The sequence below is a fragment of the Homo sapiens genome, chromosome 3 (genome assembly GCF_000001405.40).
Source record: "Homo sapiens chromosome 3, GRCh38.p14 Primary Assembly".
NCBI lineage: Eukaryota > Metazoa > Chordata > Mammalia > Primates > Hominidae > Homo > Homo sapiens.
In genome coordinates this window covers 185528780-185543787 of record NC_000003.12, presented here as the reverse complement: position 1 = coordinate 185543787, position 15008 = coordinate 185528780, and the positions used below count along the sequence as shown (strand labels likewise).

At 44.1% G+C, this 15008-nt stretch overlaps 1 protein-coding gene across 4 annotated transcripts in view, besides 1 other annotated feature; it reads left to right on the top strand.

Moving 5' to 3' along the window:
- Nucleotides 1-15008, top strand: part of LIPH (lipase H) — a 46327-nt gene that overhangs the window by 8801 nt on the left and 22518 nt on the right. For all 4 annotated transcript variants that reach the window (NM_001438029.1, NM_001438651.1, NM_139248.3 and 1 more), the window contains 2 exons: nt 8656-9023; nt 10109-10217. In NM_001438029.1, coding sequence (NP_001424958.1) covers nt 8656-9023; nt 10109-10217 — 477 coding nt within the window. The remainder of the gene's footprint in view (nt 1-8655; nt 9024-10108; nt 10218-15008) is intronic.
- Nucleotides 6387-6476: an enhancer, noted in NCBI's record as "active region_20925". NCBI's record gives its function as "activates an Ori minimal core promoter by ATAC-STARR-seq in GM12878 lymphoblastoid cells {active_cell/tissue: GM12878}" and the evidence as "EXISTENCE:reporter gene assay evidence [ECO:0000049][PMID:35858748]".

The following is a 15008-nucleotide window of genomic DNA, read 5'->3' as shown; positions in this document are numbered from 1 at the left end:
TGGACATGTACTTTATAGAACTAAAACTACATAACTGGAGAAGTATGGTTTCAGAAGATAATTACAAAAAAATAGTTATGGAGTCTTGCTATGTTGCCCAGGCTGTCTCAAACTCCTGGGCTTAAGCAATCCTCCTGCCTTGACCTCCCAGAACACTGGGATTACAGGCGTAAGTCCAGAAGATAATTTTTATATCCAGCCTGTTCTCAGTATTTGTGTTAGTTATGTCCCATTAAGTGGCCTCAAACACTGCATTAGCAAATACTGAACCATTGCTCCTAGGGGAAGTCCAAGGTTAGTTTTCTGCAAGCCTCTGGTCACAATATTTTTGTCAGTGGATCAATACATAATTTTCTGTGTGTTTCTGTTTAAAGGCATCTGATTTAATATATACTGTTGATTCATTAACATTGGACTTATGGCCAACAGCACTCTAACTCATGCTTGAATGAAGCTTACCTAACACATGTATTTTCTCTCTAAGGCACATCATAGCCTTCTTCTGCTTAGAAACATTAGACAGCACTTCAGCATTATGCTTGGGCACCATTTTATTTATTTATTTATTTATTTATTTTTGAGATGGAGTCTTGCTCTGTTGCCCAGGCTGGAGTGCAGTGGCATGATCTCAGCTCACTGCGACCTCTGCCTCCCGGGTTCAAGCAATTCTCCTGCCTCAGCCTCCCGAGTAGCGGGGATTACAGGCTTGTACAACCATGCCTAGCTAATTTTTGTATTTTTAGTAGAGACGGGGTTTTGCCATGTTGCCCAGGCTGGTCTCGAACTCCTGACCTCAAAGTGATCTGCCTGCCTTGGCCTCCCAAAGTGCTGGTATTACAGGCGTGAGACACCATGCCCAGCCCTAGATATATTATTTAGCTCTCCTTTATAAGTGAGAACATGCAGTATTTGTGTTTCTGTGTCTGTGTTATTTCACTTAAGATAATGGCCTCAAGTTCTATTCATGTTGCTGCAAAAGAGATGATTTCATCCGTTTTTATGAGCACATAGTATTCCATTGTATATATACATCATATTTTCTTTTTCCAATCATCTGTTGAGAGACACTTAGGTTGATTCCATATCTTTGCTATTGTGAATAGTGCTGCAATAAACCTATGAGTGGACACCATTTTAAACAGTGAAATAACCAAGAAAAAGCACAGGAAGTGGCTGGGTGTGGTGGCTTACGCCTGTAATCCCAGCACTTTGGGAGGCTGAGGTGGGTGGATCACCTGAGGTCAGGAGTTCGAGACCAGCGTGGACAACATGGTGAAACCCTGTCTTTACTAAAAATACAAAAATTAGCAGAACGTGGTGGCAGCCGCCTGTAATCCCAACTACTCGGGAGGCTGAAGCAAGGAGAATCGCTTGAACCTGGGAGGTGGAGGTTGCAGTGAGCCGAGATCTCGCCACTGCACTCCAGCCTGGGCGACGAGCAAAACTCCGTCTCAAAAAAAAAAAGAAAAAAGAAAAAGCACAGGAAGCAAAAAACGTGGCACTAAGTGACTGTCATCTAAGTGTTCATGAAAAGGACACCTGTTTAGAGTATGAGAGCTGAAACAAATAAGAAGGCAGAGTGTTGCTCTCTCTGACCTCAGCTGAGATCATGCATGTCAGGCAACACAAATTTTTCGCCACTCTACACATGTTCATGAATGACTGAAAAGGTTCCTCAAGTATTGATTTTGGGGTGATGAATAAATTTGCACATAAGAAATTCACAAATATGGCCAGGCACGGTGGCTCACGCTTGTAATCCCAGCACTTTGGGAGGCTGAGGCGGGCAGATCACCTGAGGTCGGGAGTTCGAGACCAGCCTGGCCAACATGGCGAAAACCTGTCTCTACTAAAAATACAAAAATTAGCCAGGTGTGGTGGCGCACGTCTGTAATCCCAGCTACTCGGGAGACTGAGGTAGGAGAATTGCTTGAACCTGAGAGGCGGAGGTTGTAGTGAGCCAAGATCATGACCCTGCGCTCCAGCCTGGTTGACAGAGTGAGACTCTGTCTCTAAAAAAAAAAATAATAATAAATAAATAAATAAATAAAACACCAAAAACCAAGAAGAAATCCACAAATATGGCTGGGTGGGGTGGCTCACGCCTATAATCCCACACTTTGGGAGGCTGAGGCAGGAGGATCATTTGAGCTCAGGGGTTCAAGACCAGCCTGGGCAACATAGCAAGACCTCATCTCTACCAAAATTCAAAAAAAATAGCCTGGTGTGGTGGCACTCACCTGTAGTCTCACACAATTTCAGGGCTGAGGCAGGAGGATTGCTTGAGCCTAGGAAGTCAAGGCTGCAGTGAGCTGTGATTGTGCCAGTGCACTCCAGCCTGGGTGACAGAGTGAGACCCTGTCTCAACAAACAATCAAAAAAAAAAAAAAAAAGAAAGAAAGATCCAGAAATAATGAGAATCGACTGTATTTGACAATGGGAAGAGACTGCATGCTTCCAGGGGTGTATGTATATATTCTGAAGGAAGGATCAAGGAGCATTTGAGAGGCAATATAGGTCTATTAACTTTCTCATTTTTCTTGGTAGAGAATGAGTTGATAGAACAGATACAGTAAATAGAACAGAAACTCTGTGACTGATACATCAATACACAGAGGCTTAAACATTTATTTTGAAACTATATAAGGAATCACCAGATGAGCCAAAAATAATTTTATAACTAATAAAAATCAGGAGGTAGAAGTCCAGTTAGTGGGGAGAAGTATTAAGTGTGTTAATGTCCTCGTCACATATAACAAAGAAACATTAGATATTGTCTCAAGGCACTAACGCCAGGACAAGAGTAGAGTCAGGAAAGAGCTGTTCTGACAAAGATCAGCAGCAGAACACATGGCAGAAGTCGGCAGCGCACTCCGAGTCGGAAATCCAGTTTCCAGATGCCCAGAAATCCTTGCCAGGGGTTGCACATTGGTGAATAATTAAGTGTGGATAGATATATTTCAGTATGGAACAGTTCTGCATGTAGTCTACTTCTGGCATAGAGGTCACACATCTACATTCCATGAAAAAGGATTTTAAATATTTCTTTTTTTTTTTTTTTTGGTTCTTTGAGAGGGAGTCTTGCTCTGTCGCCCAGGTTAGAATGCAGTGGTGAGATCTCGGCTCACTGCAACCTCCGCCTCCCTGGTTCAAACAATTCTCCTGTCTCAGCCTCCTGAGTAGCTGGGACTACAGGCGCACGCCACCATGCCTGGCTAATTTTTGTATTTTTAGTAGAGACAGGGTTTCACCATGTTGGTCAGGCTGGTCTTGAACTCCTGACCTCAGGTGATCCACCCGCCTTGGCCTCCCAAAGTGCTGGGATTACAGGAGTGAGCCACCAGGCCCAGCCTTAAATATTTCATATAGAGTTATCAAGGTGTTTACCAGAAGAATTAAAGCAAGCTATAAACTTCCCAATATGAGAAAGAACACATACATACAAAAGAACCCCTGATAAAACAAAAACAAAAAACATGAGGACAATCCATAAAGCAAAAGATAGTGAACCTAGAAGGCACTAACCCTGGAAAACATAGCATTGCCGAATTCAGTTCAGTCGTGTCCATGTGGGACCTCTGAGAAGATGGGGAGGGATGTGCAAGAGATCTATTTCAGGAAGTGTGAAGGATAAAGGAGGAGGGAGTGGGAATAGGCAGAGGGAGGCTTCACACCATCATGCAGGCAGTTTGGCACCTGAGAAAGCAGAGGAGAAAGGAAAAGTTGGGTAGGAAGAGCCTCAGACCCCAGCACAGTTCTGAGAATATTTCAGCCAGACTGATGGGGAGTCCTTGAGCCAAAGTTTCCAATTAGAGAGTGCCACATGGGCAGGAATGACCTGCCTGGTCTGGCTCAGTGATTGGTGGGGAGCAGCATGGGGAGCCATGGCTTCATGTAAATGCTGTGGGGCAGCTGGAGGCTATCGGCCAACTCAGCTGTGCTTCCTCCAGAAGTTTCTCTGAAAGGCAGGTCTTAGGCACTTCTATGGGCACCACACCAAGTATATGTTATGCCAATAAATGTTAATAGATATACTCATTTATCTTTTTTAAAGGATCTGAGAGTGGGTCATAAAATAATACCCAATTTGATCCTATATATAAGATCCGTAAAATGCGGCCGGGCGTGGTGGCTCACACCTGTGATCCCAGCACTTTGGGAGGCTGAGGCGGGTGGATCGCCTGAAGTCTGGAGTTCGAGACCAGCCTGGCCAACAAGGTGAAACCCCGTCTCTACTAAAAATACAAAAATTAGCTTAGCGTGGTGGCGGGCACCTATAATCCCAGCTACTCAAGAGGCTGAGGCAGTAGAATCGCTTGAACCCGGGGGGGCCGATGTTGCAGTCATCCAAGATCACGCCACTGCACTCCAGCCTGGGCAACAGACTGAAACTGTCTCAAAAAAAAAGGAAAAAAAAAAAAGATCTGTAAAATAAAGGGATTCAGAAGGTGAAAAGGATAAAGACACAGTAGGCAAATGCTGACAACAAGAGAGCCCAGTTATGATAAAAATATCATTTGAGGCTGGGCACAGTGGCTCACGCCTGTAATCCCAGCACTTTGGGAGGCTGAGGTGGGAGGATCACAAGGTCAAGAGATTGAGACCATCCTGGCCAACATGGTGAAACCCCGTCTCTACTAAAAATACAAAAATTAGCTGGGCATGATGGCACGCGCCTGTAGTCCCAGCTACTTGGGAGACAGGCAGGGGAATCACTTGAACCTGGGAGGTGAAGGTTGCAGTGAGCCGAGATCACACCACTGCACTCCAGCCTGGCAACAGAGCAAGACTCTGTCTCAAAAAAATAAAATAAAAAAAAATATATATATGTGTATATATATGTATATATATGTATATATGTGTATATGTGTATATATGTGTATATGTGTATATACGTATATATGTATATATATGTGTATATATGTATATATGTATATATATGTGTATATATGTATATATGTATATGTGTGTATATATGTATATATGTGTGTATATATGTATATATGTGTGTATATATGTACATATATATGTATATATATGTACATATATGTATATATATGTACATATATTATTTGGTGGAATATATATTTGGTGGAATTAAAGGTAAAAGGGGCATATTAAAATTAAAAAGGACATAACACCTGAAACATTAAGCATAGGTAATAAAAGAAAAAATCTACAAAAATAAAGCTTAATAGTTTGGGTAACTTGAATTTGCCCAACTGTATTATTATCGTACTTTGATGTTATGTTTTTATTCTTTGAAAAGAATCCCCCATTGTTGGCATTTAGCTACTCATTATTTTCAGATGATGCAAGAGAAAGAAGATTCCTGATCCCCAGACCAGACCAAGCTCCCTATTTAAGTTTTCATCTTACACTCTATCTCTTTTATATGACACATGTCACAGGTAGCAGTTTTATACTTATTTGTGTGCATTATTTCATTACTGACTGATTCTTCCTCTAAAATGCCACCTGACATAGAATCTAGGATAGAGTAGATTCTTTTGGAATGAATTGCACATATTCTCTGAGGATGAGAGATAATATATGTAAAGCTTTTATAATATTTAGTATTTAGAGGAACAAGGAAATCTATTTCACTCAATACTTACGATGGACTTCTCCGGGGGACAGTACCATTACAAAAATAACTAAGACTTAAAAGAAATTATGTAGGGCTGGGCGTGGAGGCTCATGCTGTAATCCCAGCACTCTGGGAGGCCGAGGCAAGTGGATCACTTGAGCCCAGGAGTTCAAGACTAGCCTGGACAACATAGCGAAAGCCTGTCTCTACAAAAAATATAAAAATTAGCCAGACATGGTGATGTGCACCTGTAGCCCCAGCTACTTGGGAGGTTGAGGTGGGAGGACTGCTTGAGCCCAGGAGGAAGAGGTTGCATGAGCTGAGATCGTGCCACTGCACTCCAGCCTGGGTGACAGAGCAAGACCTTGTCTCAAAACAAAACACAAAACCAGACAATTAAACAATCCTCTTCTTGGGAAAGTAATCTCTGTCTTCTCAAGTATGATCTCATTCAGAATTAGTCTCCCCAGGATTCCTCTCTTGGGCAGATAGGCGGCAAGTGAAAGATGACATAATTTCCCCAGGCCACCTGGGGAGTCAGTTGCACAACCAGGAACAAAACCCAGCCTTACTGATAGCTAAGAAGGAGAGGCTCAGCCCTACCCCAAGACACTTCCTGTTCAATAAGAAGATGACTAATTACACAGGCAACTCTTTGCTCTGGGTTTTGCTCTACAAACAACTGGGCAAGTGCATGTTCCCAGGAGCATGCGACTTACAGGAAGAGGAAATGAAAGAGGCCAAGGGATGGAGAAAATACTTAATCACGAGCACGCCTCGCTACACAGGCTACTTGATGAAGCAGAGTAAAAGGAGGAACGCGCGCATTTGAGGTTCAACATTAACCACCTGTTTTCTAGGATGAGGGATTTCAAAGCCTCCTTAACTTTTTTTTTTAAGAGCTAGAGTCTCACTGATTATTTATCTACCTGATTAACCGCAGTTTTGAGCACTAAACAGAGGATGCAGATAAATTTCAGACACCAAGAAAAATTATTTAAAATGGCAGGCTTGGCTGGGCACGATGGCTCACGCCTGTAATCCCAACACTTTGGGAGGCCAAGGCAGGCGGATCACCCGAGGTCAGGAGTTCAAGACCACCTTGGCCAACATGATGAAACCCTGTCTCTACTAAAAATACAAAAATTAGCTGGGCATGGTGGCGGGCGCCTGTAATTCCAGCTACTTGGGAGGCTGAGGCAGGAGAATCGCTTGAATCCCGGAGATGAAGTTTGCAGTGAGCCGAGATTGCACCACTGCACTCCAGCCTGGGCAACAGAGCAAGACTCCATATCAAATAAATAAGTAAATAAAATGGCAAGGTTTTAGTCCTAAATAAGTCTCTTTAACTTCATGAAAGCAGAAATCCTACAGACGGTGTTTTCTGGGAACAAATTTCACTAATTGTTAAGTAACGATAAAAACCATGAATTTAAGTGTAACCAACAAGTAACATCTAGCCACGTGTAAATTTCCTTTAAGTTCATTTAATTTTTATTTATTTATTTATTTACATATTTATTTATTTGGGGGGGTTGGTTTTGTGCTGATTCTATTATGAAACTTCACTCACTCCTGAGTACCAGAGCCTTTTTGAAAAGTTTCAATAAATGCATAACTGAACAGACTCAGGTTATTAAAGATGGGCAAGGACCCCAAGATGAAGGCTACTCTGAGGCTTAGAATGAAGAATACTTCCTGGATGTGCAAATGAAGATTCATTGAGAACAGGGACCCAGAGCAAATGCTTCCTGAATTCCTATTGGAGGAAGTCAGACAGATGTTTCCCAGGGCACTCTTGTCTTCTGTTGGCCCACTGCATGTTAACAGCCTTCCCTTTCTGCTCTTGTCCACCAAGAATGGCCATCGGTAGTGCCTTGCCTCTTCTGAGTATCTTACAGAAGATACTCATCATCTCCCACTTGGAGCTGGGGATGACTTGCTGTTCCACATGTTATTGAGTCCTCTACCATGTGCTGGGCACTGTGAGGGATATACAAGTAATGAGCTGCCATTTCAAAGAGATTGTGTTCTAGCAGGATAGACACATATGTACATAGATATCTATAATGTGTGCCTGAAAGTGGGTTTTCATTGTGTCGTCAACAAGGTGCATAAAGGGAGTTTTGGGAGTTCCAGGGTAAAGGATAGTACTTATAGCTGGGAGGGTCAGAGAAGGCTTCATTAAGGTGGCTTTTGAGTTAAATCTTGAAGGAGGATAAGATTTGGAAGAATGGCTTTCTGCTGAAGCAAGAGGTCACTACTTACAAGCTCTGGATCAAATATGATTTTGTTGGCCGGGCACGGTGGCTCATGCCTGTAATCCCAGCACCTTGGGAGGCCGAGGTGGGCAGATCACCCTAGGTCAGGAGTTCGAGACCAGCCTGGCCAACATGGTGAAACCCCATCTCTTCTAAAAATACAAAAATTAGCCCGGTGTTGTGGTGGATGCCTGTAATCCCAGTTACTTGGGAGGCTGAGGCATGAGAATCACTTGAACCCGGGAGGCGGAGGTTGCAGTGAGCTGAGATTGCACCACTGCACTCCGGCCTGGGCGACAGAGTGAGACTCTGTCTCCAAAACAAAAACAAAAACAAAAAAACAAATATGATTTGGCAGCCAGGTGTGGTGGGCTCAGGCCTGTAATCCTACCACTTTGGGAGGCCAAGGTGAGTGGATCACTTGAGGTCAAAAGAGTTTGAGATCAGCCTGGCCAACATGGTGAAAACCCATCTCTATCAAAAAATACACAAATTAGCGGGCATGATGGCATGCACCTGTAGTCCCAGCTACTCAAGGAGGCTGAGGAGGGAGAATTGCTTGAGCCTGGGAGGTGGAAGTTATAGTGAGCTGATATTGCGCCACTGCACTCCAGCTTGGGTGAGAGTGAAACCCTGTCTCAAAGTATGTATATATGATTTTGCAACTTCATTCAACTGGATCCAGCCCTTAGCCAGGTCCTATCAGGAACATAAGAAGAACTCCTACAAATATAGAACAGCACTCTTGCTTGATGCCCAGCTAAGGAAAGACCTGTCGTGATGCCATCTAATTTTTATTTTCAGACGCAGAAGAAACATGTCCTTCATTCACCAGGCTGAGCTTTCACAGTGCAGTGGTTGGTACGGGACTAAATGTGAGGCTGATGCTCTACACAAGGAAAAACCTGACCTGCGCACAAACCATCAACTCCTCAGCTTTTGGGAACTTGAATGTGACCAAGAAAACCACCTTCATTGTCCATGGATTCAGGCCAACAGGCTCCCCTCCTGTTTGGATGGATGACTTAGTAAAGGGTTTGCTCTCTGTTGAAGACATGAACGTAGTTGTTGTTGATTGGAATCGAGGAGCTACAACTTTAATATATACCCATGCCTCTAGTAAGACCAGAAAAGTAGCCATGGTCTTGAAGGAATTTATTGACCAGATGTTGGTAAGAGAATTCTCTTAGATGATTCAGAGCTAAGTTGAAACTGGCCCATTATCTGAGGGCTTAAAGCCAAGAGATAGCTACAGTGAGCAGGAGGCCTATATTGCAACATTTTGCAAATGTGAATAAGCCCCAGGGAAGGTGGGATGAGGGGCTGTGCAAAATGTCCATAGGTATGTTTGTTAGGCTGTGCACTGCACAGGGCACCCATCTGAGGGAGCACCCTTGTCATTGTGACATTATAGATTTATATATTTATTATGATAAATTTCCACCAGATGATGACAAAGTGTCTTGAGGAAGGGGCATTTTTTTCTAGCTCACAATAAAGGTGTCTTACAGGTAGGAGAGGTTCTGTCTAGGATTTCTTGGTTTAAATGCCTAGAGCTTCCTCAACTTCTTTTTTTTTTTTTGAGACGGAATCTCGTTCTGTCACCAGGCTGGAGTGCAGTGGTGTGATTTCAGCTCACCGCAACCTTTGCCTACCGGGTTCAAGCGATTCTCTTGCCTCAGCCCCCCGAGTAGCTGGGACTACAGGTACACGCCACCATGCCCAGCTAATTTTTGTATTTTTAGTAGAGACGGGGTTTCACCATGTTGGCCAGGATGGTCTTGATCTCCTGACCTCGTGATCCACCTGCCTTGGCCTTCCAAAGTGCTGGGATTACAGGCGTGAGCCACTGCGCCCGGCTAATTTTGTATTTTTAGTAAAGACGGGGTTTCTCCATGTTGGTCAGGCTGGCCTCGAACTCCCGACCTCAGGTGATCTGCCCGCCTCGGCCTCCCACGGGGCTGGGATTACAAGCGTGGGCCACTGGGCCCAGCAGACAGACTATTTTGAATCCTGCTCTGCTCTCTCCCCAGCTGCCTGATCTGGGGCAGATGACTTCAGCTTAGGGCCTCAGTTTCCTCATCTGCATAATCAAAAGAATAGTATTTACTTTGCATGGATGTTGTGACTTTTAAATGAGATAATAGATGTAAGGTGCTTAGAATTACTTCTCCAAAGTCAACAGCCAGGAAATTTCTACAAATGTTAATTCCTTGGCCCCTTACAATTTACAATGATGGACCTCTTGAAATTCCAGGCAGAAGGAGCTTCTCTTGATGACATTTACATGATCGGAGTAAGTCTAGGAGCCCACATATCTGGGTTTGTTGGAGAGATGTACGATGGATGGCTGGGGAGAATTACAGGTAAGTGCCTGTGAATGGGCATGGGTTGGTAGCCTGGGCAGGGTGTTCACTGGGGGAGTATTATGTAGGCCAATCCAACTCCTTGGGTTCAAAGCCAGCTCCAATTACCTAACCTCTCTGAGTGTGGGTCATTGCATGCAAAAGGAAGATCAAAATAATATTGACCTCAGGCTATTATGTAATAAAACATAAGTAAAGCATTTTGTAAATTGTGTATACTATAGAAAAGATGAGTAGTGACTTTATTTCTATTATGGCTGGAAAAACAGCTATGTCCCATTCAAATCTGTGTGCCGCAAACAGTTAGTCCTCTTCCTTTTATTTAATCCAGGAGACCCTGAACTATAAACCTAATACGCTTCAGTCCCCAGGCACAGCTGGAGTCTCATAAGAAAACGAGATGGGAATTTTGATGGCTGGGGCTTATTCTCTAAATATCAGCTTTCGGGCCAACACTGAATGAAAACCTTCAGAAATGCAGTAGGTCAGATCCCAAACAAAGACTCCTTTGCTGGAATCTCCTGCCTAGGGCTTAGTAGCTTTCCACAGCGGCTCTCTCTTTCAGAGTCTCAAAGCCTCTCCCATTTCTCCTTTCCCAGAATCCATCCTCATACCTAGATGGCTATTTTAAATCTATGGAAACTGAAAAGGTAGAAGTGGATGGAAAAAGGGGAGAGGTAAATGATTAAAACTACATTTAGGAGGTAAACTTTTAGGGCCACAAGTTTTTAATTTTATTTTTAATTTAAATTTTATTTTATTTTATTATTTATTTATTTTTGAGAAAGAGTCTCACTCTGTCACCCAGGCTGGAGTGCAGTGGTGCAATCTCGGGTCACTGCAACCTCCACCTCCCGGGTTCAAGCGATTCTCCTGCCTCAGCCTCCTCAGGAGCTGGGATTACAGGCATGCGCCACCACTCTTGGCTAATTTTTGTATTTTTAGTAGAGACATTGTTTCGCCATGTTGGCCAGGCTGGTCTCGAACTCCTGACCTCAGGTGATCCACCCATCTCGGCCTCCCAAAGTGCTGGGATTACAGGCATGAGCCACTGCACATAGCCTTTTTTTTTTTGACAGGGTCTCGCTGTGTTGCCCAGGCTGGCATGCAGCTCACTGCAGCCTCAACGCCCCCCCAGGCACAAGCAGTCCTCCACTCAGCCTCTCAAGTAGCTGGGACTACAGGTGTGTGCCACCACACCTGCTTAATTTTTAATTTTTTTGTAGAGATGGAGTCTTACCATGTTGCCCAGGCTGGTCTTGAACTCCTGGGCTCAAGCAATCCTCTCACTTCAGCCTCCCAAAGTGCTGGGATTACAGGTATGAGCCACTGTGCCCGGCCTCATGTTGTATTTCTGTTGGACAGCACTTCCTTCAAGAGTTTATGTTGATCTCGGGTATGGAAGTAAGAGGCCGTGAAGTTGCATGCAAAATGTTGGGTGTCTGTCCTGGGGAGGGGTCCAGAATTTTCATCAAATTCTCAAACCAGTTAAGGCTGCAGTAAAAGCCAAGGATTCTTATCTGAACATTTTTCTGGTGATCTTAGAGCAATAAGAAAAAGCTCTTTGGCTGGGTGCAGTAGCTCATGCCTGTAATCCCAGCACTTTGGGAGGCCAACGCAGAAGAATCGCTTGAGTCTAGGAGCTTGAGGATGCAGTGAGCTATGATCGTGCCACTGCACTCAAGCCTGGGTGACAGAGTGAGATCCTGTCTCAAAAAAACAGTAAACAAAAACCAAAACAAAACAACAAAAAAGGAAATCTCACTTTTTACATTCTGTTTGTATTCCACAATAATCTCAGAATGTTCTGGATTTAGATTCAGGAGCCATCTATTTATTTTAATTTTTTTAATTTAGTGATGGGATCTCATGTTGTTGCCCAGGTTGGCCTTGGACTCCTGGGCTCAAGCAATCCTCCTGCGGTGGTCCCCCATAGTGCTGGGATTACAGGTGTGAGCCACCAGCTGGCCTTAGGAGTCCTTTTATAAGTCTTCTTCTTTTTTTTTTTTTTTTTGAGACAGAGTCTTACTCTGTCGCCCAGGCTGGAGTGTAGTGGCATGATCATGGCTCACTGCAGCCTGATGCTCCCTGGGCTCAGGTGATCACCTCTGAGGCTCCCATCTCAGCCTCTCAAGCAGCTGGGACTACCGGCGTGCACCACCATGCCTGGCTAATTTTTGAATTTTTCTAGAGATGGAGTTTCGCCATGTTGCCCAGGCTGGTCTTGAACTCCTGTGTTCAAGCGATCTGCCTGCTTCAGCCTCCCAAAGTGCTGGGATTACAGACATGAGCCACCGCACCTGAACTTATGAGTCTTCTGAAGTAGCTATTAATTCTACCTCCATTTTATAAATTAAAGGAACTGAGATTCAGAGAAGTTAAGTAACCTGCCTAAGGGCACACAGCTGGTTAGCGCTAGGTTTGGGGCTCCGTATCTATCCGCTCACACGTAGTATGCAGCTTTTACTATAATTTTTTTCTGACACTGGAAGCTAATCATTTGCTATGGCTTATCACTAAGGAAATCCCAAGTCCAAGCCTGCCTGTGACAGTCTCAGTTTATACCTTTGTCTTGGTGTAATTATTAAGAGCACCGTTATCACTCTGAAAACTGTCCTGCTTCAGATGTTTTATTCATCATGAATCTGGAGGTTGCTATAAACTGAGGCTCTCACCATTAATTTTATTTATTTATTTATTTTTGAGACAGGGTCTTACTTTGTTACCCAGGCTGGAATGCAGTGGTGCAATCACAACTCACTGCAGCCTCAAACTCCCAGGCTTATTAATAGCATCCTTATCACTCTGAAAATTGCCCTGGTTCAGATGTTTTATTCATCATGAATCTAGAGCTCTGAAACTGAAGCTCTGTTAATTTTATTTATTTATTTTTGTTTTTTTGAGACACAGTCTCACTCTGTCACCCAGGCTGTATTACAGTGTCACGATCTTGGCTCACTGCAATCTCTGCCTCCCGGATTCAAGCAATTATCGTGCCTCAGCCTCCCAAGTAGCTGGGATTACAGGCTCCTGCTACCGCACCCAGCTAATTTTTGTATTTTTTAAATTAATTTATTATTATTATTATTATTTGAGACCGAGTCTCACTCTGTCGCCCAGGCTGGAGTACAGTGGCACGATCTCGGCTTATTGCAACCTCCGCCTCCTAGGTTCAAGAGATTCTCATGCCTCAGCCTCCCGAGTAGCTGGGACTACAGGTGCCTGCCACCACGCCTGGCTAATTTTGTATTTTTAGTAGAGATGGAGTTTCATCATGTTGGCCAGGCTGGTCTCAAACTCCTGACCTCAGGTGATCCAACCACCTCAGCCTCCCAAAGTTCTGGGATTACAGGCATGAGCCACTGTGCCCAGCCTATTTACTTATTTATTTTTGAGACAGGGTCTTACTTTGCCACCCAGGCTGGAGTGCAGTGGTGCAATCACAGCACACTGCAGCCTCAAACTCCCGGCCTCAAGCCATCCTCTCAGCTCAGCTTTCTCTCCATCTCCCCACCACCTCAAGTAGCTAGGACTACAGGGACTACAGGCGCATGCCACCGCGCCAGGCACTGCTTATTTTCTCTCTCTCTCTCTTTCTTTCTTTCCTTCTTTCTTTCTTTCTTTCTTTCTTTCTTTCTTTCTTTCTTTCTTTCTTTCTTTCTTTTCTTTCTCTCTTTCTCTCTCTCTCTTGCTTGGTCTGTCGCCTGGGCTGGAGGGCAATGGCACAATCATGGCTCACTGCAACCTGGAACTTCTGGGCTCAAGTGATCCTTCTGTCTCAGTCTCCGGAGTAGCTAAGATTACAAGCATGAGCCACCACACTCAACAAATTTTTAATTTTTTTGTAGAGACAGGGTCTCCGTATGTTGCCCAGGCTGGTCTCGAACTCCTGGTCTCAAGCAATCCTCCCGCCCTGGCCTCCCAAACTCTAGGATTATAGATGTAAGCCACTGCGACCAGCTGAAATGGAGGGATTAAAGCTAGAACCAGGTAGGCTAGGTGTGGTGGCTCACACCTGTAATCCCGGCCTTTTGGGAAACTGAGGCGGGAGGACTGCTTGAGTCCAGGAGTTTGAGACCAGCCTGGGCAACATAGCAAGTGCCCCTACAACCGGCTCTCCTCCCCTACCCCCACAAATTAAAAAAAAAAAAAGAAAAAGAAAAAGGCTAGAACTTAGGAAATAAAGGCAAAGACACTCTTGCATTTTATATGTAACACCAGGGGATAGGAGATATAAAATGACATTCATAGACAAAAACTTCAAGGGAGACTTCCCTTGAAGCCTTCTTCACTCCAGGTAGGGATCTGGTAAACCAGACCTTTTGGAGCTGCTGATTTTTTTTTTCCTTTTTTCTTTCTTTTTCTTTTTCTTTTTTTCTTTTTTTTTTTTTTTTGAGACGGAGTCTCGCTCTGTCACCCAGGCTGGAGTGCAGTGGCACGATCTTGGCTCACTGCAACCTCTGCCTCCCCAGTTCAAACAATTCTCCTGCCTTAGCCTCCCGAGTAGCTGGGACTACAGGCACGTGCCACCACACCCAGCTAATTTTTTTTTTTTTTTTTTTGGTATTTTTAATAGATACGGGGTTTCACCATGTTAGCCAGGATGGTCTCAATCTCCTGTCCTCGTGATCCGCCCACCTCGGCCTCCCAAAGTGCTGGGATTACAGTGGTCAGCCACCACACCCAGCTTTTTCTTGTTGTTGTTTAATCTTTATTTTGTGGTTACAACATCATAGGAGCTTCTCTCCTGTTTTTCCAGCTGCTTCGTAGTGATAGTGAGGAACACCCAAA